The sequence below is a fragment of the Homo sapiens genome, chromosome 22 (genome assembly GCF_000001405.40).
Source record: "Homo sapiens chromosome 22, GRCh38.p14 Primary Assembly".
NCBI lineage: Eukaryota > Metazoa > Chordata > Mammalia > Primates > Hominidae > Homo > Homo sapiens.
In genome coordinates, this window is record NC_000022.11 from 23268101 (window position 1) to 23290647 (window position 22547).

The 22547-nt window shown below is 57.0% G+C and overlaps 1 protein-coding gene and 1 long non-coding RNA gene across 3 annotated transcripts in view, besides 12 other annotated features; one reads left to right on the forward strand and one right to left on the reverse strand.

The window, feature by feature from the left end:
* Nucleotides 1–22547, forward strand: part of BCR (BCR activator of RhoGEF and GTPase) — a 137529-nt gene that overhangs the window by 87592 nt on the left and 27390 nt on the right. For both annotated transcript variants that reach the window (NM_004327.4, NM_021574.3), the window contains exons 5-14: nucleotides 308–415; nucleotides 3432–3492; nucleotides 4981–5033; nucleotides 5534–5674; nucleotides 15877–15998; nucleotides 16933–17101; nucleotides 19059–19178; nucleotides 19997–20072; nucleotides 21417–21521; nucleotides 22239–22313. In NM_004327.4, coding sequence (NP_004318.3) covers nucleotides 308–415; nucleotides 3432–3492; nucleotides 4981–5033; nucleotides 5534–5674; nucleotides 15877–15998; nucleotides 16933–17101; nucleotides 19059–19178; nucleotides 19997–20072; nucleotides 21417–21521; nucleotides 22239–22313 — 1030 coding nt within the window. The remainder of the gene's footprint in view (nucleotides 1–307; nucleotides 416–3431; nucleotides 3493–4980; nucleotides 5034–5533; nucleotides 5675–15876; nucleotides 15999–16932; nucleotides 17102–19058; nucleotides 19179–19996; nucleotides 20073–21416; nucleotides 21522–22238; nucleotides 22314–22547) is intronic.
* Nucleotides 1016–1686: an enhancer, noted in NCBI's record as "H3K27ac-H3K4me1 hESC enhancer chr22:23611303-23611973 (GRCh37/hg19 assembly coordinates)". NCBI's record gives its function as "activates a minimal SCP1, AML or CMV promoter by ChIP-STARR-seq in primed H9 embryonic stem cells {active_cell/tissue: H9 hESC(primed)}" and the evidence as "EXISTENCE:reporter gene assay evidence [ECO:0000049][PMID:30033119]".
* Nucleotides 1061–1110: a silencer, noted in NCBI's record as "silent region_13537". NCBI's record gives its function as "represses an Ori minimal core promoter by ATAC-STARR-seq in GM12878 lymphoblastoid cells {active_cell/tissue: GM12878}" and the evidence as "EXISTENCE:reporter gene assay evidence [ECO:0000049][PMID:35858748]".
* Nucleotides 3493–4980: a mitotic recombination region, noted in NCBI's record as "BCR-ABL p195 breakpoint cluster region, recombines with the ABL breakpoint recombination region, producing the e6a2 transcript". NCBI's record gives the evidence for it as "EXISTENCE:nucleotide sequencing assay evidence [ECO:0000219][PMID:26149409, PMID:21804629]".
* Nucleotides 5627–15876: a mitotic recombination region, noted in NCBI's record as "BCR-ABL p200 breakpoint cluster region, recombines with the ABL breakpoint recombination region, producing the e8a2 transcript". NCBI's record gives the evidence for it as "EXISTENCE:nucleotide sequencing assay evidence [ECO:0000219][PMID:10233416, PMID:10516770]".
* Nucleotides 11656–11963: a silencer, noted in NCBI's record as "fragment chr22:23621943-23622250 (GRCh37/hg19 assembly coordinates)". NCBI's record gives its function as "represses an EF-1alpha promoter that drives an FKBP-Casp9 reporter gene in an ReSE screen in HepG2 liver carcinoma cells {active_cell/tissue: HepG2}" and the evidence as "EXISTENCE:reporter gene assay evidence [ECO:0000049][PMID:32094911]".
* Nucleotides 13445–13554: an enhancer, noted in NCBI's record as "active region_18754". NCBI's record gives its function as "activates an Ori minimal core promoter by ATAC-STARR-seq in GM12878 lymphoblastoid cells {active_cell/tissue: GM12878}" and the evidence as "EXISTENCE:reporter gene assay evidence [ECO:0000049][PMID:35858748]".
* Nucleotides 13945–13994: a silencer, noted in NCBI's record as "silent region_13538". NCBI's record gives its function as "represses an Ori minimal core promoter by ATAC-STARR-seq in GM12878 lymphoblastoid cells {active_cell/tissue: GM12878}" and the evidence as "EXISTENCE:reporter gene assay evidence [ECO:0000049][PMID:35858748]".
* Nucleotides 17095–22428, reverse strand: LOC107985554 (uncharacterized). The gene is made up of 3 exons (XR_001755448.2): nucleotides 22114–22428; nucleotides 18511–18673; nucleotides 17095–17955 (listed from the first exon to the last, which is right to left on the reverse strand). It is a non-coding gene; the product is annotated as an uncharacterized LOC107985554 (long non-coding RNA).
* Nucleotides 21549–22547: part of a biological region, named in NCBI's record as "BCR-ABL major-breakpoint cluster region", that runs on past the window's edge. NCBI's record gives its function as "recombination_partner: LOC107980440".
* Nucleotides 21549–22547: part of a mitotic recombination region, noted in NCBI's record as "BCR-ABL major-breakpoint cluster CML sub-region recombines with the ABL major-breakpoint recombination CML sub-region within the ABL breakpoint recombination region, producing e13a2 and e14a2 transcripts", that runs on past the window's edge. NCBI's record gives the evidence for it as "EXISTENCE:nucleotide sequencing assay evidence [ECO:0000219][PMID:20703256]".
* Nucleotides 21653–22547: part of a mitotic recombination region, noted in NCBI's record as "BCR-ABL major-breakpoint cluster ALL sub-region recombines with the ABL major-breakpoint recombination ALL sub-region within the ABL breakpoint recombination region, producing e13a2 and e14a2 transcripts", that runs on past the window's edge. NCBI's record gives the evidence for it as "EXISTENCE:nucleotide sequencing assay evidence [ECO:0000219][PMID:20703256]".
* Nucleotides 21958–22547: part of a meiotic recombination region, noted in NCBI's record as "meiotic double-strand break mapped by DNA meiotic recombinase 1 chromatin immunoprecipitation followed by single-stranded DNA enrichment and sequencing in the germ cells of some male individuals with the PRDM9 A/A, PRDM9 A/B and PRDM9 A/C genotypes", that runs on past the window's edge. NCBI's record gives the evidence for it as "EXISTENCE:chromatin immunoprecipitation-seq evidence [ECO:0000229][PMID:25395542]".
* Nucleotides 22012–22378: a meiotic recombination region, noted in NCBI's record as "this region was identified as a recombination hotspot within the HapMap YRI population". NCBI's record gives the evidence for it as "EXISTENCE:nucleotide sequencing assay evidence [ECO:0000219][PMID:20981099]".

Consider the following 22547-nt stretch of genomic DNA (forward strand, 5'->3'; position numbering starts at 1 on the left):
AGCTGCCGCTCATGGCACCATTTCAGCGAATGGGGTGGGAGGAATAAGTAGCTCTGGAAGGGAACTGTTACCTGCCTGGCGCCGTGAGTCACTTCTCAGCATGTCATTTTGGGAGCGGGAAGTGTGCTGGGTGCGTGGGGAGGGGAGCAGGTGGGAGGGAGCAGCACGGAAGCGCCGAGGCCTCTGCAGCCTGTGTGCCGTCTGCTGTCCCTGGAGTTTCTGCAGAGCTGTGCACGGGAGCCTGCTCTTCAGAAAGATGGGGGAGCAGCAGCACCTGTCCCACTCTCTCTTCCTTCCTCCCCCTCAGGCCAGCCAGCTGGGTGTGTACCGGGCCTTCGTGGACAACTACGGAGTTGCCATGGAAATGGCTGAGAAGTGCTGTCAGGCCAATGCTCAGTTTGCAGAAATCTCCGAGGTAATGCCTTGATGCCGTTCAGACAGGTGCACCGCTGACTCCCACCTGTACCCTCCACCTCCCGAGGAGAACAGAGTGCACCAGATCAAGATCTGGTCGTGAACCCCAGCTGTTTCCAGATTCTGTTGGGTTCGTTGCGTCAGCCCTGTGCTGGGGATGCTGTTGTGCGCAGACCGAAGGAGCAGCCCACAGGGCGTCCTGCCTCCCCGGGGGCGAGGGCCTGATTCTGGGGGTTGCCGAGTTCCGGGGACACTCTTTGCACTGTCTGTCTGCAGTGAGGGGTGTCTGTAGTTCTGCCTGTGAGCAGCTCTCTCCACAAGAGTCCTGAGGCTGACTTTGTACCTGGCACTGGAGGCGAGGCCGGAGGTGGCCCACTCTTCCTTTTCTAGCCTGCCAGAGACCTTGAGAGCATTGAGGAAGCATTGAGGGGCTAGCGCCGTGGGGCGAGGGCTCATGGCACCTGTGCTCTGTGGACCCATGTGGGGAGCAAAGCGACAGGTTGGAGCTGCACTAACCCAGGCCCCAGGTCTGAGAGGCTGCTGACTCCCTGCCTGCATTTAGCCCCAGGAAGCTGAAACCTCAAACCATGTGGTGTTAGCGCCCAGGGCCTCGAAAGAGTCATTCAGAAACAGAGACCATGAATGGGCCATTCAGAAGGCTGGTGGCCCAGCCAGAACCAGAACCCAGCCACACCCCTGGGTCTGCACTCCAGACTGGGGTTCTTTCTGCCCTTCTCCAGCCTGTGTCTGCCTGGTGGTCACTCTGCGACATTTTCCTCTTTGGAGGCCCTTGCCTCTTCATGAGCCCCCCATCTCGCTGTAGCTTTGCCTTCTGACTTGGCTTTCCCCCACCCAGCAAGGGTTCTGAGCAGAAAGCCCTCCGTGTGAGAACCGCAGGGTTAGAAAGAGGCATGGGCACTAGAAATAGGGAGTGAATGCGGTCACCCTTGCTGGGACACCCTCAGCTGTCACCCCTGGGCTTTGTTGCTGAGGCTTTGTGCCGTCTTATTGTTTATCACCGGATGGAGCATCACGGGCTTCGCTCTGATGTCTCCAGTGGTGACAGTACCTGCCGCTCTGTTCTTCCAGAGTCTGTGGGGCACCCTGCTCCGCCAGGTGCTGCTGGTAACAGGCTCTGCATGTATCCGGGGCTCCAGCTCCCTCCCCACTGCCAGCCTCCCTCTGGACCATTCAATCTGTTCTCTTTTCCTTTTTCATTAAATGAGCAACCCTCCTCCCCCACAGCTGGAATGGTGGCATCGAATTTCAAGTGACCTTGACAAATCAGGGACCTGATCTTTTAAGAACAGGTTACAGTTAAGCGGGCAAGTTCAAGTCCACCCAGACAGGTTTCTGCAGAGGAGGGAGGAAACACCATGGGACGCCACCTGGGGATCACGTGGTGCCACCAACCATGCACCAGTGGATTCTGAGCCATGGTTGAGATGCAGGGAGTGGGATGGGGCTCAGGACCAGCTGCAAACCGACCCACCGTGAAAGTTTGTGGCACCTGCACCATCAGGGCGACATGCACTTTGGTTCTCTGTGTTTCAAAAAAGACCCAGAGGAATTGGAGCCACCCAAAGAAAGCAGAGTCAAACGCAAGGAAGAGAAAGCAGCAAGCCCTGCAGAGGTGTTGGGGGGTCAGTGCTCAGGCGTGGGAGTTCGAAGATCACCCTCAAGTACAGGAAGGAGTGGAGTAGTGTCCGTCTTCTCCTGGGACAGTCCTGAGAGATGGGCAGCATCCAGTTAGATCTGGTTCCATGGAACACCAGCTCTCCAGACGGTAGGAATAGGAATTACATGAAAAGGGCTTTGGGAGTCAGGCCAGTTTGGGAAATGCAGGGTTAAACCAAACTCACAAGTTTTCTTGAGGCAGGTTTTCCTGGAGCTCCTAGATAACTCCCAAGCATCACACTGTCCACGGACACGTGGGCCGCCTCCCAGGCTCTTGTGAGCCCAGCACCTGGTTTTTGCAGTCTTTTGTTTGGCTCTCCCACCCCCTTACACCCTTTGGGAACTGCTGAGTCAGATATACAGAAGAACAGTCACTGCGAGGGCTGTTAAACTCTCAGGAAAGGTACCAAAGTGCATGGCAGCGTTTGGCCCCAGTGAGCTGGAAAACACTTTCGTCTGGTCTTGAGATGTTTCCTGCAGCACAAGAGGTTGGCAGAGCAACCTCAGAACCTCTTCTGTCTCTGTTTATGCTTTTGTTCAGAAGCTTAGTACCAGGAATTAATCTCAGCTCCTTCCCAGAGGATTTTAGGCACACAGGGATCTTTTATTCTGCACTTCTCCAGTGATGCTTTCAACACAATTGTATCAAAACAGCCTAGGCTATTCACTTACAAGCCCTGCTTTTGCCCTGGGAATCTTAGCACCTCATTTTTTAGTAAGTACACTTGCAGATCCGGAGAGGGCAGGTGGAGGTATAATCCAGTGTCAGTCTGCAGTGGTGGGCCTGCCCTGGCCGTCTCCAAAGATGGGTGCTCTTCGGAACTGGCAGCCCCCTGCATGCTGTCTAATTGCCCCAAGAAAACAGTGACGTGTGTTTAGGAGCATGCTCCTGTTGGCCTCCATTTACAGGATCCTCTGTGTCAGAGGATCTCAGCCAGGCGTGATTTTGTTCACAAGGGACACTTGGCAATGCCTGGAGACATTTTGGTTGTCAAAACAGCAGGAAGGCAGACGTGCTCCTGTACCTATAGGTAGAGGCCAGGGCAGCTGCTCAGCACCCTAAGGTGCCCAGGACAGCTGCTCAGAGAATCTGTAGCCCAAAATGTCAACAGTGACCTGGCTGAGAAGCCCTGTCCCAGGTGGACCGCAGCATCCAGGGCATCCTGCGTGCTCGGCTTGCTCGTGGGTCCCTGCACACCCTGTGACTTCATTATCAGCTCAGAATGCACCTGGGGTTTGTTGTAGTGAGGGAAAGCTGAAATTGTTGCCAAAGGGGGAACTGTCTGCATCATCAAAGCTGCTTCTGTCATCTGTGTGAACATGCGCTTTTCTCTCTGCAGAACCTGAGAGCCAGAAGCAACAAAGATGCCAAGGATCCAACGACCAAGAACTCTCTGGAAAGTGAGTTCTGCATGCTGAGGTCTCTGTGTGCCCTCGTCAGGGAGGCTGCTGCTGGCAGAGGGGGCGTTGTGGAAAAGCAGACACAGTGCCCACTTGGGTCATCCCTTGGTGCCTTCCCTGTTCTCTCTTCAGATAGAGTGGGCACGAGGAAAGAACAGCTCAGGGAGGGCAGGGAAGGATACCATCAGGACCAGTTTGCCACCAACATTAGCAACAAGGTGCTGCTTAAATTGACTTAAATGTTATCCTGTTGACCCCAGTGGCCTCATAAGGAGGATTTTTTTTTTTTGAGGCGGAGTTTTGGCTCACTGCAACCTCCACTTCCCGGGTTCAAGTGATCCTCCTGCCTCAGCCTCCCGAGTAGCTGGGATTACAGGCACACACCACCACAGCCAGCTAATTTTTGTATTTTTAATAGAGATGGGGTTTCCCTCCGTATTGGTCAGGCTTGTCTGAACTCCTGACCTAAAGTGCCTTGGCCTCCCAAAGTGCTGGGATTACAGGTGTGAGCTACCGCACCTGGCAGTAACAAGGATTTTATTTTCTGTTTTTGCCAATGACAAGTTTGGTCATAAAGTAATCTGTGCAGAGCACAGGCTTTAAGTGGCTGGGCAGGAATTGAGTCCAGAGTTGCTGGGAAAGTGCTGTCAGGAATTGTCAGTCACTTCTTATTTTCAGTTGTTAGGGTGTTGTGAATAGTTACACTTGCAAAGAACAGCAGCCCCCGGAGCTTTGTCCTCCAAGCCTCAGTTTCCCTATCTGCAAAATGAAAATAGCGATGAGTGCCTTATGCTGGTTGTGGGAGTCTTGTGAAGAACATACTTGGCATGTCTCAGAACACACCTGAGCGTCTGTGCCTGGGACGGGCCACACTCACTGTCATCATGGAGAAGCACGGGTGGCTGAGGCTGGCCAGGGCTCCCACCATGCCAGGGAGTTGCTCCCACTGCAGTGGGGCTCATGTGCCTCTGGAGTCCGGGTGTCCTCGGGCAGGTCGCCAGAGAACCTGTCAAACCAAGAGTTGTATTGGCATCTGAGTAGGTTTCTGCTTGTCTCAGAGTCAGGTGTCTGAAATGTCCTGGGATCGATGGTAAGAGCAGCTAAGAGGTCTGCTCAGCTTACCCTCTGGGCTGGGGAGCAGGTCTCCCTCCAGAATTGGGGCCCACCCCAGCCCGTCCTTGCCAGGGTGGGTTCCCTGACCTCAGGCTAGAGGAGCAGCAGTGCTGAGCCTTTTCAGCTGTTGCCACCGAGCCAGCCATGCAGGCTCGGGTCTGACAGCCGCTCTGGACTCTGCATGCAGTGAATGTCCTGGACTTAAAGTGTTCCTGTTGGGTGCTCTAGCCTTGCCCTTGTCACTGCGCAGAGGGGAGATGGGGCCTGTGGAGGCTGGGGCAGCCCCCTCCCCACTCACCCTTGCACCGAGGGTGGTCAGGCAGCTGGTGTGCTTCTCCATGTGCAACCTCTCTCACCTCCCCTCTCTCTCCACAGCTCTGCTCTACAAGCCTGTGGACCGTGTGACGAGGAGCACGCTGGTCCTCCATGTAAGTCACAGCGCCCCTCTGGACCGGGACCAAAACTGCCCCCTCGGGCACACACAGCAACAATGTTCTGAGACCTTTTTTTAGTTGTCATAGCTGCAGCCAAGGGGGTGCTACTGGCATCTAATGGGTAGAGGCCTGGGGTGGTGTTGGACATTCTGTAGGGAAAGGACAGCTCTCTCTTGTCCCTCCACAAAGAGTTACTCCACGCAAAATGTCCACAGTGCTGAGGTTGAGAAACCCTGCCCTAGATCCTTACAGAGGAGTCCTTCTTGGCCATGTGCATGCAGCGTGAGTTTGCTGGAACACATGTAGGACCTGCTTCCAGGATGGTGCTCACACAAGCTCTGTCCACAAAGCTGGGGCCCAAGTGAGAGAGACTGTGGTGACACTGAGGGAGCCGGCGCTCTGGGCTCCGTCCACACTTTGTGTCTGCACTTTGCACACAGTGGCAGGTGCCAGTGCTCCTCTGTGTCTAACTCAAGTCTTTCTTCCTGGGGCAGGACTTGCTGAAGCACACTCCTGCCAGCCACCCTGACCACCCCTTGCTGCAGGACGCCCTCCGCATCTCACAGAACTTCCTGTCCAGCATCAATGAGGAGATCACACCCCGACGGCAGTCCATGACGGTGAAGAAGGGAGAGGTGAGTGTGGCAGGGGATGGCTTGGGTCCACCCATCCTGCTGAGCTGGGGGCATGCAGGGCCCCTCGATCTGAGGTCTGGAGCCCTTCCTGGTCCTCAGCAGACCTTGCCTTCTGGGATTGGTGAGATTGGCCGCACACTCAGTCCTGTGTGGAAGGTGTCTGGGTGCAGTCTCAGGGGTGACCCTGCAAGCACCATGCCCTCCAGGTGGCAGCCATCACCATGCCTCACTCAGCCACCTCTTTCCTTTTCTGTCATTGTGGGTTGTGTCCAGGGACCCCTTTTTTTTTATCCCCCACAGTCTTGCCAGCTCAGGCTCCCCAGCCAAGGAGACTTGTGCAAAGGAGGTGAGTAGGAGGATGGCATTTTGTCTGCCTGGAATCCTCCTACTTCCCCCTGAGTGCTTTCATTAAAAAACAGTTAACATCGGGTTTAAGGATTAGAAAGTGGGGTTCGTGGTTTGTGTCTGTGACGTGAGACTGGTTGAAGCACTTCACGTCTTCCTCCGGGAAGACTCTCCTTCCCCTTCCCCCCCGTCACTGATGTACTCTGTGTGCACATCATCGATGAGCAGGCATGGCCTGTGCCTGTGCCGCTCTGAGCCTTCCTAGGTGTGGCCTGGCACATAATGAGGCAGATGCATTCCCAGGCAGGTAGCAGCTACTGAGAACAGCCAAGGCGTGTAAGCTGGGGAGCCAGTGTCCAGGGGGAACAGCTTTTGTCAGAAGCAGCACTGAGGCGAGGGGAGCTGACCCCCGGCCTCAGGGGTCTCATGCAGGGACAGAAGCTGTCTGGCCCAGGCAGGACACAGGCTGGGCGTGAACCTGACTGTAGTTGCCTCAGAACCACCTCATGGCTGGGTGCGGTGGCTCACGCCTGTAATCCTAGCACTTTGGGAGGCCTAGGCGGGTGGATCAGGAGGTCAAGAATTCGAGACCAGCCTGGCCAACATGGTGAAACCCCGTCTCTACTAAAAATACAAAAATTAACTGGGCACGGTGGTGGGTGCCTGTAATCCCAGCTACTCGGGAGGCTGAGGCAGGTGAATCGCTTGAACCCAGGAGGCGGAGTTTGCAGTGAGCCGAGATCTCACCACTGCACTCCAGCCTGGGTGACAGAGTGAAACTCCATCTCAAAAAAAAAAAAAAAAAAAAAAAAGAGAACCACCTCCTTCTCTTTCTTCTGGTTCATGGGCCAGGTGGTCGGCACTGTACCAAGGACACGGGCCCTGTCCTCAGGGCCCCCAGGGTGGACCTGCCCAACACATGGGGCTTGCTTTCCTCCTCCTGCCCTGGGCCACCAGGCAGGCAGCTGTCAGCCCCATCTGCCACACACCACTTTGGGAATGGTACCCTGAGTGTCCAGAGTCTAATCCGAGTTGACCTTTAGTGAGGGACTTGGTCAGGTTTCTCCTGGTGGGCCTGGCCCAGGAAGGGCATGGAGGAGGAGGGAGCTGTCCCTTCCATTCCGCTCTCCGGCTTGTCCAAGCCCTGGAGCTGGGCAGACTCAGAGTCCCATGCCAGCATCGTGAGGACCGACCCACTGGGTGGCCTAGAGCTTCTCCCAACTGGGCCCATTCCTTGTCTTTGCAGCAGGGTGGGAACATGGCCCCACCTCATCGGGCACCTGGGCTGTCAAATGGGCATGATTTAGTGGCAGTCCTCGCCATCCGTGTTGGCTCCTTGGCAGTCTCTGAGCGCATTGAAGGCGGAAGTGGGTCCCCGGCACCTTCCAGTGGAGGCGTTGAGCAGTGCAAGTGTTCCCCAGCTGCTCATCCCATGGCTGGGACCTGGGAGTGGTGGGGGATCAGATCTTGCTTCTTGGAGCAACAACCGGGCCCTGCCCTTGGTTCTCTTCCCTGGCTCAGGGCCCCAGAAGGAGAGCAAACCTGTGACAAACCTGTGGGCAGTCCACACAGATCTAAGTGGATGTTGGATTTGCTTCTCCTAAGCCTCCACGTGCTGGGTGGGTTCCTGCCAGGTTCGCCCTACCCTCCTGAGATGCCTGCTCTTTCTCTTCTACCGACTATTCTTTTATGAGCGCTCTGACCTCCTGGGAAGTGAGTGTGGGCGTCCTTTTTCCCATGGCTTCTCCTGTGCCTAGTCTGCTCCCTGCAACTGCAGCTGCCATTTAGCATTCCTAGAGACAAGGAAGGGCCTTCTCAGTGCTCGGATCATTGGAATCCACTGCTTTGGGGAATTAAGGAAAACGCGATGTTGTCTAGAAGTTGACACCTAGGCCCTCGTTCCTGCATCCGTCCCCATGGGGGCCAACTTCCACGCTTACCCATGGTCATGTCTCGGGGCCACCAAGGAGGAAGTGTAATTTAAGAAGGGCTGGGTGCGGCTGGGCGCGGTGGCTCACACCTGTAATCCTAGTACTTTGGGAGGCCGAGGCAGGCGGATCACCAGGTCAGAAGTTTGAGACCATCCTGGCTAACACGATAAAACCCCATCTCTACTAAAAATACAAAAAATTAGCTGGGCGTGGTGGTGGGCACCTGTAGTCCCAGCTACTCAGGAGGCTGAGGCAGGAGAATCTCGTGAACCTGGGAGGCGGAGGTTGCAGTGAGCCGAGATTGTGCCACTGCACTCCAGTCTGGGCAACAGAGCGAGATTCTGTCTCAAAAAAAAGAAAAAAAAAAAAAAAGGGCTGGTTGCTTCACAAAGGCAGGGGCCTGGATCTGCATCCTCCCCAGGACCTCGCCCTGGTGGAGGGGCACTTGCTCATTGAGGAGGGGTCACCTGGGTGCCTTAGCTGCAAAGCAAGGTGGAGGACTAATGACTCTAGAAAAGTCACCGTGAGTCTGACCAGCACCCCTTCACTCAGAGCTTTCTATCCGAGGCACGTTAAGGGAGGTGGCTTGATGGTGGCTAAGGCAGGATGATAGATGCCTGTGCTTTGCCCCTGCCCCTGCCATTCCTGGGGCAGATGCTGCTGATCAGTTGGGCACTCCAAGCCTGGACATCCACCTCGGTATCCCCTGGCACTGCCCAACGGGTTTGCAGTCCTTGATGCAGAAAGAAAGATGCCAGATGGGCGAAGCCCCGTCAGGGTCCGCTCTCCCTCACTGCTACCAGTGTACTGATTTGGGGACACCCTTTTGCTTCCCTGGGTGTCCGTGCTCTCTGAGGGCAATGATGCAGGGTCCGTGGCCCCTCCACTGGGTGTTGAGACTGAAAAGGTTTCACAGCCTGCGAGGGACTTTATGAAAGTGAGGGGTGGTGGCCTGCCCGCATGCTGCCATCTGTGTCGGAGGTGACGGGCGAGCTCCCCTGACGACACTAGCCAGGAAAGGGGGGCAGAAGCTCCAGGCTACTTCCTCTTAGAATTTGCAGCCAGGGGCAGGGCCTGAACTTTTCTCAGTTCTGCCCATCTCTTAGTTTGGTACATGACATGGAGTGTCAAGTTCCCAAAGGGAGAAAGGGACTGTGCCTCTGCATTCTCATGACAGTTCTGTGGGGTCAGAGGTGATCTCCCTTTTACAGATGAGGAAACTGCGACTCAGAGAGGTTGAGTGTCTTGCCCAGTCACACAGCCACTAAGTAGCTAAGCCAGGATGCGAGTGAGGCCATGGGCCCCTGGCCGCCTGTGTGCCCCTCGGGTGTGTTACTCTTTGGTTCCCTTCCTCCTCTGTGAGCCGATAGGACGTTTCCACCCCTCCTCTTGTTCCTGCACTACCTGGAGGTAGGAAAGAGGAAGAGATGTCCCTTTTAGCTCCGCACACTACCCCATCCCCTGCTGCTGCTGCTGCTGCTGGGAGTGTGTCAAGGGGTTGGGGCTGTTTCTGTCTTCCCTGGCATTTGATGTCAAGAGGAAAGCTGCTTCTGTTGGCCTGGGTGTTTCGAGGTTCTCCTGCAGTCACTACTGGGCCTCCTGGGAGGTGGCCCATTGCTACCTGCTGAGCCTGGGCAAGTCTGGCATCGAGGAGAGGCCCAGGTATGAGCCCTCTGCAGGGTCAGCCACCCCAGCCCCAGACCCCCACTGTGGCTCCTATAATCTCATTGCCCTTTTCAGCCACATCCCATGGCTCCAGGGCTGTGCTCTTTGGGGAACAGTGACTTTGGGCTGCATTCCAGGTAGCTCCCTGATGCTGAACGGTGGCCGGCAGGTGCTCCAGCTTCCTGGCATCCTGGCCCAAGCACACCTGGGGGCCGTGAGCCACAGGTGCTGCCCAAGAGAATGCCCTCCTTAGCCTTCCCAAAATGACAGGATCAAAGGATCCCGCAGGCACAGTTTCTTTCCAGGCCTGGGTTCTGAGGGCTGGTGGGTGGCGCTCATTTGTTTAGGTGAATTAACTTCACAGTTAGATAACCAATCCCCACTGCTGGGTGACTTCCCACGTGGTTGCCTCTCTGTCTACTCGGAGCCTTGGCACCACGTGCTGCTCAGCACCCCCTCCGCCTGGGCTCGGAAGCATAGCGGACGATCCAGTTTGGATGTTCTGTTTCCCAAGAGCCAGCCAGGCATTGACCTCCAATACCCGTTCTCTGCCTGGGATTGCAGAGGCCCCTCTTTTAGGAAGAACACAGACAGCAGTCCAAACAGGAGCTGCAGGAAGGCCCTGGAGGAGGGAAGTACCACCAGTGCAGGCTTGAGGCTGAGAGATGGTGAGGCTCGGGCAGAGGAGAACCAAGGTCTTTCAGTTGATGATTAAAGAGTTGGAGAACAGGCTGGGCATGGTGGCTCACACCTGTAATCCCAGCACTTTGGGAGGCCGAGGCGGGTGGATCACTTGAGGTTAGGACTTTGAGACCAGCCTGGCCAACATGGTGAAACCCCGTCTCCACTAAAAATGCAAAAATTAGCCAGGCATGGTGGCAGGTGCCTATAATCCCAGCTACTCCGGAGGCGGAGGCAGGAGAATTGCTTGAACCTGGGAGGCGGAGGTGGCCATGAGCTGAGATCACGCCATTGCACTCTGCACTCCAGCCTGGGCAACAGAGTGAAATTCCGTCTCAAAAAAAAAGAGTTGGAAAACAGTTGGAGAAGCCAGACCCTGTTGGCAAAGTTTGCAAGGGGTGCTACGGAGAGGGAGGTGCCCACCCCAGGGGTGAAGACAGGATGGGTGGGGTTCTCAGCTCCACTGGACACCAAACAGAAGCTGTAAGTGCAAGGCTAGTGCCCATGTCGAGGGCTGGGCCTTTCTGGGCCCTTCATAAACATTGGCAAACAAAGCTTGGGTTCTCGGCTTGTCTGGGCCAAGTTCTAATTCCTTCCAGGAGCGTGGGCACGTTGCTTACCTCTTAGCTGTTTCTTCTCCAGGAAGTGGTGGAGCTGGAGCCTGCTGCATGGGAGGGTTCTGTGGAGTGAGATGAGATGTTTTACGTCATGCTCTTTTCACACCTTCTTGGCACCCAGAAAGAGCTCAGCAAACATTAGCTGCTACCAGCCACCCTGACTGTGGCTGTCAGCCAGCATTGTTCTTCCCAGGCCCTGCCCTACCCTCCTCCTGGCATAGTGTCTCTCAGGGCATAGGAAACTTTCTCGGCCAGATTGGCCATGGGAGGCTTTCTTGGGGACCAGAGAGTCTGCAGGGAGGGCAAGTCAAGAGCAGGTGAGAGGGAGGGAAGGGCGAGCAGGACCCTTGACCTCATTCTCGGCTGCAGTGTATATTGGCCTGCCTGGTGACCCTCCTTGCTCCTGGTCCCACTGCCAAACCTCTGGAGTCTGCCACATCCCTGCATAGACAGGGCCACTGACAGGCAGTGGCAGCCAGTTCAGTGGCACTCAGCCAGGTCTCCAGGGGTGTGCGCTTTGCTCTGGGGGCAGGGTAGCGGGGGCTGAGGCCACTGGCTGCCTCCAGGGCCCCCCCACCAGCCAGCAGCTGGAAGCTCCACCTTGGTCTTCACTTGGGCCGTCTTCCTTCTCCACTTCCTCAGCTGCTATGTGGGCTTCTTTGGCAACTTTTCCTTGTCTCACCAGTCAAGGCCCTGCTGATTTGTTGATGATCAGACTGTAGTTCGTGTACCTGGGGAAGTTTTCCAGCATCTCCATGGAGCCATGGTCTCTGATTCCTGGAGCATGTCGTAGTCGGTTCAGGCTGCTGTAACAAAGTATCATCTGCTGAGAGGCTCACACACAGGCCTTTACCTCTCACAGTGGTGGAGGCTGGAGATCCGGCAGGGTGCCAGCAGGGTCAGGTTCTGATGAGGGCAGTGAGAAGCACGGCCACCCTCCCACTGTACCCTCACATGGCCTTCCTGGGAGTGGACATGGAGAGAGAAAAGGACCTCTCTTTTTTTCCTTCTTATGAGGACACTCATCCCATCACATGGATTCCACCGCATGACCTCATCTACACCTACTCACCTCGCAAAGGCCCCACCTCCAGATACCAGCCCATTGGAGTTAGGGCCTCAGCATAAATTCTGAGGGGGACAGAAACTTTCAGCCCTAACAGTATGCTTCTTCCAGACTGGCCTTCCTGGGAAGGCCCTGGATAGGCTGTGCCTGGGGTTGGGGGTGATGTTGCACTGGCAACAGCTGGAGGAGGCAGCTGGCCTGGGGGAAGTCCCCTTAGCAAGGAGGTGCCCCTCCTCACTCCCACCAGCCTGATGCGACCCCCTCCTCAGAAGACAGGGCACATAATGTGACCTCACAGGGCCTCAGTTTCCTTGTGTGTAGAAATCAGGGTTATGGTGCCTGCCTTGTAGAGTCCTGGTGAGGAGTGAGTGGTGTGATTCATGGGAAGCTGTGACTGTCACATTCCCACCTGCAGAGGACATGGCGAAGGGTGACAGCCCCGTGTGAGGCCCTGCAGGTCGCAGTTTCATTTAATCCTCAGAACATACCACCAGACTGGTCTTTCTCACCCCATCATGTTTAAGGAAACAGAGGCTCCAAGAAATGGAGGAGCATAGCCAGCATCATCGTCACAGAGAAGGAGAAGGGTGGGCTCGGGACAGTGAAGATGCAGGCTGTCCTGGCCACCCTTGCTTTCTGCGGGCTCCTGTGGGGATGATGATTTTAGTTATTCAAGAAGACAGGTGGCGTTTCTTCCAACTGGTGTTTCCCACCTGGGATGTGGGGGGGCTCCCCAAAGGGAGTGTTGTCCTGCCAACTGGGGCCTGCTGTCCCACTGCCCTGCCCCGCTCTGAAGCACACACAGGGACCCATGCCCACACGGGGTTACTTGCACCAGGACACACACAGGCCTGACACGCACAGGACATGCCCTTGCATGGGAACACACACACAGAAACATGGAGATGCACACAGTGAGACACACGGGCACACACCTACCCAGGCCACAGGCCTGTGTGGGGTTCCACGCACGAGGGCACGCTCAGGCACTCACACTCACACAAGAATGAACACACCTGGAAACATGGAGACACACAGGGACACACAGACGCAGAGCACATAGGATCTTCCCCTGTGCCCTTTTCATACACAGACTCCCATGGCCCCGGGGAGCCAAAGTGTGGTACCGTCCCTGTCCCGGGGCCACTGAGGCCCTGGCCCTCTCTGTCCCACAGCTCCAGCTGGGACTGTTTGCCCTAGTTGAGATGCTGAGCCTTGGGGACAGTGGTTTCCAGCCACGTGGCCTTATGCCGGCTTTGGGATGCAGTCAGGATTGTGACCCCGGCCCACCCTTGCCGTGTGCCCTGGAGGACGACTCGGGTGGGCTATGCAGGAAGCCTGTGCTGATCTCAAGGCCAACTGTCCTGTACTCCAGGCCGGGGACCAGGCTGCTGAGCGCTTCCGAGAGGGACATCTCCTGGGCAGGGAGTGACATAGGCCACGCCATGTGGGCCTCCCAGCCATGTGCTGGTGCTGTGTGGGCTGGGAGGGCAGGCAGGGGCCGAGTGACGGGGACTGCAGAGCGGGGCCTGAGATGCTGTGACATGCTGGGCTGCCTGTGGCTTTCGGGCTTCTCTCAGATGAGAGTTGCACAGGTGGGTGGGGGGTTGGGGAGTCTGTGGCAGCATCAAAAGAGTAGCCCAGAAACCGCCGAGTCCACTGTTCGAGCCTCCCGGGCCTGCAGCCCGCACCCCAGAGGGGCCACTTCCTCCCCACAGTCAGGCCTGTGTGTCCTCTCAACGTGGCAAGCCGGCATGTGGGTGCTACAGGTCCCCAGTGTGACACTCAGTAGCCTTGCTGAAGGCCGAGGGTGCCCCTTAGGTGGGTTGTGGGCAGCCTCTGCTGGAGAGGGAGCTGCGTTTCTTGACCGCAGGCAGAGTGGGCTGGGTCTGCAGTTTCTGAGCTGAGCATGGGGTGCCCTCTGCTGGTGATGGCGAGAAGCTCACTGCCTTTGTATGGAGAAGGCTGCCATCCAGCCCCGCCACTGCCCCAGAAGGAAGGCGCCTGAGACCCCTCCTCCTTGGCCGGGAGGCCCTTTGCTGTGTCCCTGCCAAGAGGACCTACTGCAGTCCTTCCCGAAGGACCTCAGTGTCCTGGGACCCTACCCAGATCTGGTCCCCACTGCAGACCCAGCAGTTTGGGTTACCCGGCTTCAGCGCTCCAGCTCTACATGATGTTTCTCCAGGTGCACATGCTGTTTCTTGCTTCCCGTGGGTGCCGTCACCAGGCAGCCGTCTGCCCTCGGCAGGCGGGGTGTGGGTGAGTGCCGATGAGTCATGGCCTTGGCACGCCGGCAGCCTTCCTACCCTTCCACTTATGGGCACCAGCAGCCCCTGCGTAATTCATTGGTTCCCCTTCGCAAGAGCCGGCTGCCTGTCGTGAGCCAAGCTGCTTATGATGGTGACATGAAGCCTCCACCTCTGAGAGTGTCGGAGGACTGGCCCAGGCTGTTCTTGCAAATGGGGAGCTCTGTTGCCTCCGGCCCCAGAATGGGGGAAAAGTTCAGAGAGACCGAGGCTCCCCGAGAAGAACCTCAGGCTGCAGGTGACAGCAGGGCAAGGTGCCTGGTCTGGCCCCAGGACCAGCCTGGCTCCCTGAGAGCACAAGGCCTCATCACTTCTCGAGATGAGGACAGGTGCACCGCCTGCGGGGAGACACTGGGTTTTCACACTCTCTGTTGTATGTGCCTCCCCTGCCAACCCTTCTGACTCTCAGTGCAGGGCGGGCGTCGTCCTCCCTGTGAGCCTTCCCTGAGACCAGGTGGGCTGGGTGCCCACTAAACACTTGGCCTCTCTGCCACGAGGTTGTGGACTCCTGAGGGTAGAGGCCTGTGAATGTTACCCCTCTCTTTCTGCGCTGCCTGGGACAGAGGGTGGACCTCCCTGAAGCTCTGTTTTCTCATTAAGGACCTGCCTACAGCCTGTTGTGGGGATTGGGTCAAATAATTCAGGCGATGTGCTCGTGCAGTGCGCTGGTCCCAGCGTGGGGAAGGCTTGCTGCGACAGCCTCTCCTCCTGTCCCTGTACCCTCGGCACAGCGCCCAACCCTGTGAGGTACCAGGCAGGGGTGACTTACCTAGACATGCCCATTCAGCAGCCCCTTGAGCAAGAAGGACCGACCCTTGCCTTTCAGATGCAGACCAAGATGCAGAAAGGCACCCTTCTCAGGCCGCAGGTGTCCAGGCAGGTGTCAGAGGTGCAGCCCGTGCACACCGGGGACCCTATCCATCCTGTCTAGTTGGGAGGACTAGGAGTTCCACATGTGGGACCCTCAGTTCCTGCTGCCTTCAGAACCAGGCCCAACCCTTGCTGTGACCTCGAGGGCTGCCACTTTTCAGAGTGCACTGGGCCTGTCTCCACCCATAGACCATACTGCCACATCTGTACCTCGGGCACCAATCTCTCCCCACCACAGGGGCCTGTGCCTGAGATGGTCCCTCTACAGAAATACCTGCTCCTGGCATGGCTGGCTTCTTGCCAATTCTGGATCTCCAGCTGCCACCCCAGAGAGGCACTGGCTTCCCTGTTTAAAGAGGGTCCCCCCATCACCCATCTTCACAGCAGACTGTTTGCTTGGCTGTGTGCCCCTTCAGACCCACACCCATTACCTCCCCCTCTCCCCCATCCTCCCACCCTCTTCCAAAGGCTGAACACACAGGAGGGATTGGGAAATTTGTTGAACAAAGAAGTTACACATAAGCCCTGATGTGTTAGCAGGACAGTGAGATGAACAAAACGTTCTGGAAAGTGGGTGTGAGGGTCAGATGTGGAGGGAGTGAAATCTTCCCAGGGAGAGAATGTCTCTGGGTCAACCTGCTCCTGCTGGGCTGGGAGGGCCGAACACCCCCCACCCATCACCCCAGGCTGGCCCTGACCCCAGCCTTCCCTGTGCCTGCAGCACCGGCAGCTGCTGAAGGACAGCTTCATGGTGGAGCTGGTGGAGGGGGCCCGCAAGCTGCGCCACGTCTTCCTGTTCACCGACCTGCTTCTCTGCACCAAGCTCAAGAAGCAGAGCGGAGGGTGAGTGACGATGTGGCCCCTGTCCCAGCAGTGACCCCACCCTGACTCTCCAGGTCATGGAGGGTCTTGTCATGGCGGAGGTCAGTGGTGATGTAGCTCGTTACATTCCGTTTCTACTTGGGCACAATGCCAGGCTCCAGGTTAAAGATTGTCACTAGCAATCTGGAGACGTCATGGGGCATCAGGGTGACCAGCTTTGACTCCTGTAGTGAGGGGTAAACCCGACCGTGGCTTCCGGCACTATTGCAGAAAGGTCACCTCAGGACCCATCCGGGAAGCGTGAGATCAGGGGCTGCAGGCAGTGCTGGGTGGTGGCTGCTCCTTGTCTCCCCGAGCCTGGTGGTGGCTTTCCGAGTTATCCTCGGCATAGGCGTGCACACACTCCCCTCCTCCCTCCTCCCTGGGTTCACCCAGGTTGCACCAGGTTGGAATGGAGCAAAGAGGGCCACACTGGGAAGGACCAGCACGGGGCTCTTTCCTGCATCCTGCCGTTGCCCTGCTGAGTGGGTTTAATCAGTCAACTCAGAGGAGAGCCTTAGTTCCCCCATCTGTCAGGCGAGGGGATGACGCCAGCTAGATCTGTAGTCCCTCAAACTTTACGGCCCTGGGGGTGGATTTCAGTCCTGTCCTGTCATTGTGCAGCCTTGATGTGCTCCCACATGAGCCTTCAACCTTAGAGCCAGCTCAGGACAAGGTGGATCTAGACTCCTGAGATGCCTGGGGCCTGCGGTCACATGTTCAGAGTGTCTGTTCCCAGGAATCCTGGCACCTGCCAGTGGCCTCATCCCAGTCTGTCCCATGGAACACGTGCTGGGTTTTAGGTCAGGTAAACCATGTATGGCCGAGAACACTGGCTCTTGGGCTCTTGACAGCAGTGACATCAGCCATAGAAGGCAGTCGGTGCATGTGAACGTTCTTCTCTCCCCATCCCCAGCAAAACGCAGCAGTATGACTGCAAATGGTACATTCCGCTCACGGATCTCAGCTTCCAGATGGTGGATGAACTGGAGGCAGTGCCCAACATCCCCCTGGTGCCCGATGAGGAGCTGGACGCTTTGAAGATCAAGATCTCCCAGATCAAGAATGACATCCAGAGAGAGAAGGTGCACACCAGGGGAGCAAGGGCCGGGTTTGGTGTGGTCAGAGTGGCAGCAGCCCCCGCACACGGCCAGTGGGTGCTTTCTCCGTCAGGCCTCTGGGCCCCAGGTCTGGTCTCTGGGACCCCTGTAAGCTCTCAGCTCTTGGAGGGCTGGGCATCTGGGCACAACTAGGTGTCCAGTTGTTCTGAGAACCCCCAGCTAAATGGGGAGCACCATACCAGAGCGGCTGCCAACCCAACCCTCCAGAAAAATGAAGGGAACTGGTCGTGGTCTCTACAGTGCGCCTTTCACGGGATACTTCTTAGACCTGGTGGACTGCCTCATGCTTAGTTGTCTGACCTGTGACCAGGGGTCCCTCACGAGAGAAACTTGTTTAAACTGTGTCCAGTTTATGCCCACCTGACCATTGCTGTGGCACTGGGAGCCTGATTTTGTGTTTTCACTGGCATCCCCGGGGAAAACTTAACCTAGGCAAACACCTCCTAGTTTTTCGGAAACACAGCACCACAATAGGAAACAAGTTCAGAGATTTTACCTACAGGTTTTGGACAAGGAGGTGCCATGAGTAGGGAGGGCAGTCTTCTGTCCCTGGGTCATGCAAGGCAGAAATGAAGAGTTAGCGCATGACAGCTAGCAGTATTTATAAGGGAACAGGGTGTGATCACTTTAAGTTCACAGGCAAATGCCTGGATGGTCCTTTTAAGGAAGCAGCAGGAATGCGGGAGCTCAGTCAGCCGGGCGGGAGAGAGGCTTCCGGGTTCTCACCTCTGGCCACAGGCTTGAGCTGTTCAAGTGTGTGGTCTCCTGATACCCAGGCTGCGTCCTTTGCCGTGTGGTTCCATTACATGGGTGAAGTACTGAGTCACCAGAGAGAAAGTCACAGCCAGACAGTGGAGGGCTTGGAGTAGTCCAGGATGCAGGGTTGGGGGAGGTGCTGGCTGTCCCCCATACAAGCTACCCTGATGGGGCCCAGGCCCAGGTGGCAGTGCCACCCCTCTAGGTGTTCAGGACTACCTGCCCTTGGTTTTTTCCAGAGATGTTTGAAGACTGTAAAAATGGTGAGGACAAGCCCCTCAATCAAAGGTTAGCCAGGCCAGAGGAGGCGGGTGGCATCAAGGTTAGGCCTGGGTCCAGGTATGCCCAGGTAGGGTGGACGCAGCAGGACAGGAGGTCCTCAGCCCTTGCCCAGCTGCCCAGCCTGCTGTACCCAAACCCAGCACACTTAGGAACACAGGGAGCTTCAAGACTGGGGTGAACATTCTATTGTCATCCTTGTGGGACTGTGACCTCCAGGGTAGGGTGTCCCCACACAGAGTGGGAGCCAGTGCTCAGGGCAGCTGAGCCCTATTGACTGTTACTGTTGCATTCTCCATGTTCAGCTCTTTGGGGGATGGGATGGGGTGGGGCCCTACCTGGTGACAGGCAGCACAGTTTTCTCCTCCCCAGGGATAGTGGCTTCTAGAGTGAAACCCATGGCTCAGCATAGGAAGGGCCTTCCCATCCAGGTTCTGTTGACGGTCGTCTGGTCTTCTGCTGGCATCTCCACAAACATGCCCAGGGGCCCGATGCTGAAACCTAGTTGGATTAGGAAGAGGGTGAGGGACCCTGTAGGTCACAGCAGCCTCCTAGACATTGTCTGAATTTGGGAAAATGAAAGGCAGGGATGTTGGTAAAAGTTTCTTCTCTCCGCCCTTGTGAGAGGAAAGACTTAATTCCTCCAAAAAAGGTTTACTGAGCATGTCCTGCAGCTTATGCCATGCCTTGACCCTGTAAAAAAGCTGTTTCTGTCCTCCAGAGGCCACCAGCAACTGCGGTCTGGGGCCCTGGTCTGTGCTGAGTGGAGAGATGGGATTCTTGCCCTCTGCAGGCTGAATGCAGCTGGTGGTGGGGATGGATGGAATGGGAGTGGGTTGTGTGGAGCGCTGGAATGGGAAGGTGAGGCTGTGGCATCTCCCCACAGAGGGCGAACAAGGGCAGCAAGGCTACGGAGAGGCTGAAGAAGAAGCTGTCGGAGCAGGAGTCACTGCTGCTGCTTATGTCTCCCAGCATGGCCTTCAGGGTGCACAGCCGCAACGGCAAGGTGAGCGCCTGCTGTTCCGGCCCCTCCTGCTCTCCTGGCCTGGGATGGGCTCCTGGTTGCCTAATGGCAGTGCGTTTTCACTTGGATGCGCCCCACTCTGAGAGAGGCATGTCCGGCATGGTGCATGCAAGCACGCACATTCCTTTGTCTGGGGCTTTGGGCTGTAGCCCCCAGGTTGAGTGGCAGCTGGCTCAGCTCCCACAGCTGGGAGTGGACAGGGTCTCCAGGGAGGGTATAGGGCAGGGGAGCCTAGCAGGTTTGTGCAGATCTGGCCCTTGGTACAGGGATGCTGTCCTGGGGCCTTGAGGGCCAGAGACACACCTTCTGTCCTGAGTCTGGCTCCTGCTGCCATCTGTAACCTGGGCCTCTCCCTCCTGTCAATACATGTCTGTCAATGTCCAGAATGGCTTGTTTTCTAGCCTGACCAGGAGAGGCAGCTGGTGGGCTCTGCAGAAGCCTCACCTCTGGGCTAGTGTGGGGCTTGTGAATTGAATGCAGGAGGTCAGGTCTGGATCAACGTTCACCTCTGCAGATCCCACCTGGTTACCTCCATGTCCCTAAGCTGTGCCCCTCTGCCAGCATCACACCCTGACCCATGTAGTTCGGGTGAGAGATGGTGTGCCAGAGGTGCTGTGGCACCCAGCTGGCAGGAAGGGTAGGGAGTGCCGGAAGCGACATGCCAGGCCGTGAGCACACCTGGCCACTGGGCTCCAGCCGGCTGGAGATACGAGTTGTGTGCTCTAAGGTGCCCCGGGCCTACCAGGCATTTGCGTAGCCAGGGCGGAGATAACTGGGTGTGTTCTTCTTGCCCACCCTAGAGTTACACGTTCCTGATCTCCTCTGACTATGAGCGTGCAGAGTGGAGGGAGAACATCCGGGAGCAGCAGAAGAAGTGTGAGTATCCTCTGTCCTGAGAGGGGCTGGGCTTCAAACCATTAGGGCCAGGCTGGCAGCTCCTGTGGTTTTAAACCTTCTTTTTTATTTCGAGGGGTTTTATCCAAGTGAAGTGTTGCATGGAGGGCTAATTTAGAAAAGAAGTTGGCGACAGCCATCCCGATAGGCCCCCAGCCCTCTTGTTCCCCTGCCAGCCTATCCTGCCCCCATCACCTGGGCACTCATTTCCCCACTGCCCTGTGATCCCCTGTGAATCCCCCTTCCCCAGGCCCTTTCCAGATTCCACACCTGCCCCTACACACACCCCTGCCATCTCCCCCTAGTCTGCTGCCCATACACCGCACCCCCGGCCTGCCCCCTAGTCCTTTCTGGGACCCTGCCACCACCCCATTTTCTTGGCCTCCCCCATTTCTCCTCATCTACTCCCCGCCCCCTGGGCCTTCCCTGCCCCAGCAGGTGCTGATGCTAAAGGGGCCTTTGGCTGGGCCCACTTGGGCATTCACACTGTGCTGGCCCCACTGCCCTGTTCATATGGCCGGGGTTGCCCGCTCTCAGCTCAGGGGCGCTCCCTCCTGTCTGGGGCAGCCCCTTCCTTCTCTGGGCACTTCCCTCTGTCAGGGCGCTCCTTCCTTCGGGTCCTGCCTGGCAGTGTCGGTGGGGAAGGCAGACCCGGTTCCCTCCTTGGAGGTTTGGGATTCACCCTGAGCTGGGGCTCTGCATGCCTCTGGCCTGGCCTGACCTCCCGCGCCCTCAGGCTCATCATTCTCACCTATGCAGAGCCACCTCTCGGCCCCCAATGCCACCGTGGCCTGGGGGATCAAGGATCTCCGGGCAGCCCTGCCAGTGCTTGTGTCCCAGGGTTTCCTGTCATAACATAGGAGCCCCAGCCATTTCCAGAGTGGCAGCCTCTGTTCCCTGTTCAGCATTATGCCCAGAAATAAGCCCCTTTTCCTCACCTGGTGGAGAAACGGGGGCCTGTGTTAGCAGAGGACGGGCAGAGCCATGCTGCTGTCTGTATGGGGAGACCTCACAGGGAGGTGCTCCCAGTCCAGCCACTCATTCTCAGACCTGCCTTGTGGCTGTGCTTAGGTAGCGTGGGATGTGTGTGTTTGTAAGTCTCATGCTAAGACTCCTCCAGGCCTGGGCTCTCCAGGGCCACACCTCACTCTGCCGCCAGACCAGCACTGCACTTGAGAGCCAAGTGCCCTCTCCTGAGCCCCCAAGCCCTGGCACCAGTTCTTGCCGTGCCCCTTCCCCAGGGTGTGTGGTGGAGGTCCAGTGGGAGGGGCCAGAGGGCCAAGGAGCAGATTGACCAATTGGTGCACCTCTTTTCCAACCTCCCAGGTTTCAGAAGCTTCTCCCTGACATCCGTGGAGCTGCAGATGCTGACCAACTCGTGTGTGAAACTCCAGACTGTCCACAGCATTCCGCTGACCATCAATAAGGAAGGTGGGCCCCCCCGTTTCCGTGTACAGGGCACCTGCAGGGAGGGCAGGCAGCTAGCCTGAAGGCTGATCCCCCCTTCCTGTTAGCACTTTTGATGGGACTAGTGGACTTTGGTTCAGAAGGAAGAGCTATGCTTGTTAGGGCCTCTTGTCTCCTCCCAGGAGTGGACAAGGTGGGTTAGGAGCAGTTTCTCCCTGAGTGGCTGCTGCTGGGTGGTTGAGGAGATGCACGGCTTCTGTTCCTAGTCACAAGGCTGCAGCAGACGCTCCTCAGATGCTCTGTGCCTTGGATCTGGCCCCACTCCCGTCCTCCCAGCCCTCCTCTCCTCCAGCTACCTGCCAGCCGGCACTTTTGGTCAAGCTGTTTTGCATTCACTGTTGCACATATGCTCAGTCACACACACAGCATACGCTATGCACATGTGTCCACACACACCCCACCCACATCCCACATCACCCCGACCCCCTCTGCTGTCCTTGGAACCTTATTACACTTCGAGTCACTGGTTTGCCTGTATTGTGAAACCAGCTGGATCCTGAGATCCCCAAGACAGAAATCATGATGAGTATGTTTTTGGCCCATGACACTGGCTTACCTTGTGCCAGGCAGATGGCAGCCACACAGTGTCCACCGGATGGTTGATTTTGAAGCAGAGTTAGCTTGTCACCTGCCTCCCTTTCCCGGGACAACAGAAGCTGACCTCTTTGATCTCTTGCGCAGATGATGAGTCTCCGGGGCTCTATGGGTTTCTGAATGTCATCGTCCACTCAGCCACTGGATTTAAGCAGAGTTCAAGTAAGTACTGGTTTGGGGAGGAGGGTTGCAGCGGCCGAGCCAGGGTCTCCACCCAGGAAGGACTCATCGGGCAGGGTGTGGGGAAACAGGGAGGTTGTTCAGATGACCACGGGACACCTTTGACCCTGGCCGCTGTGGAGTGTTTGTGCTGGTTGATGCCTTCTGGGTGTGGAATTGTTTTTCCCGGAGTGGCCTCTGCCCTCTCCCCTAGCCTGTCTCAGATCCTGGGAGCTG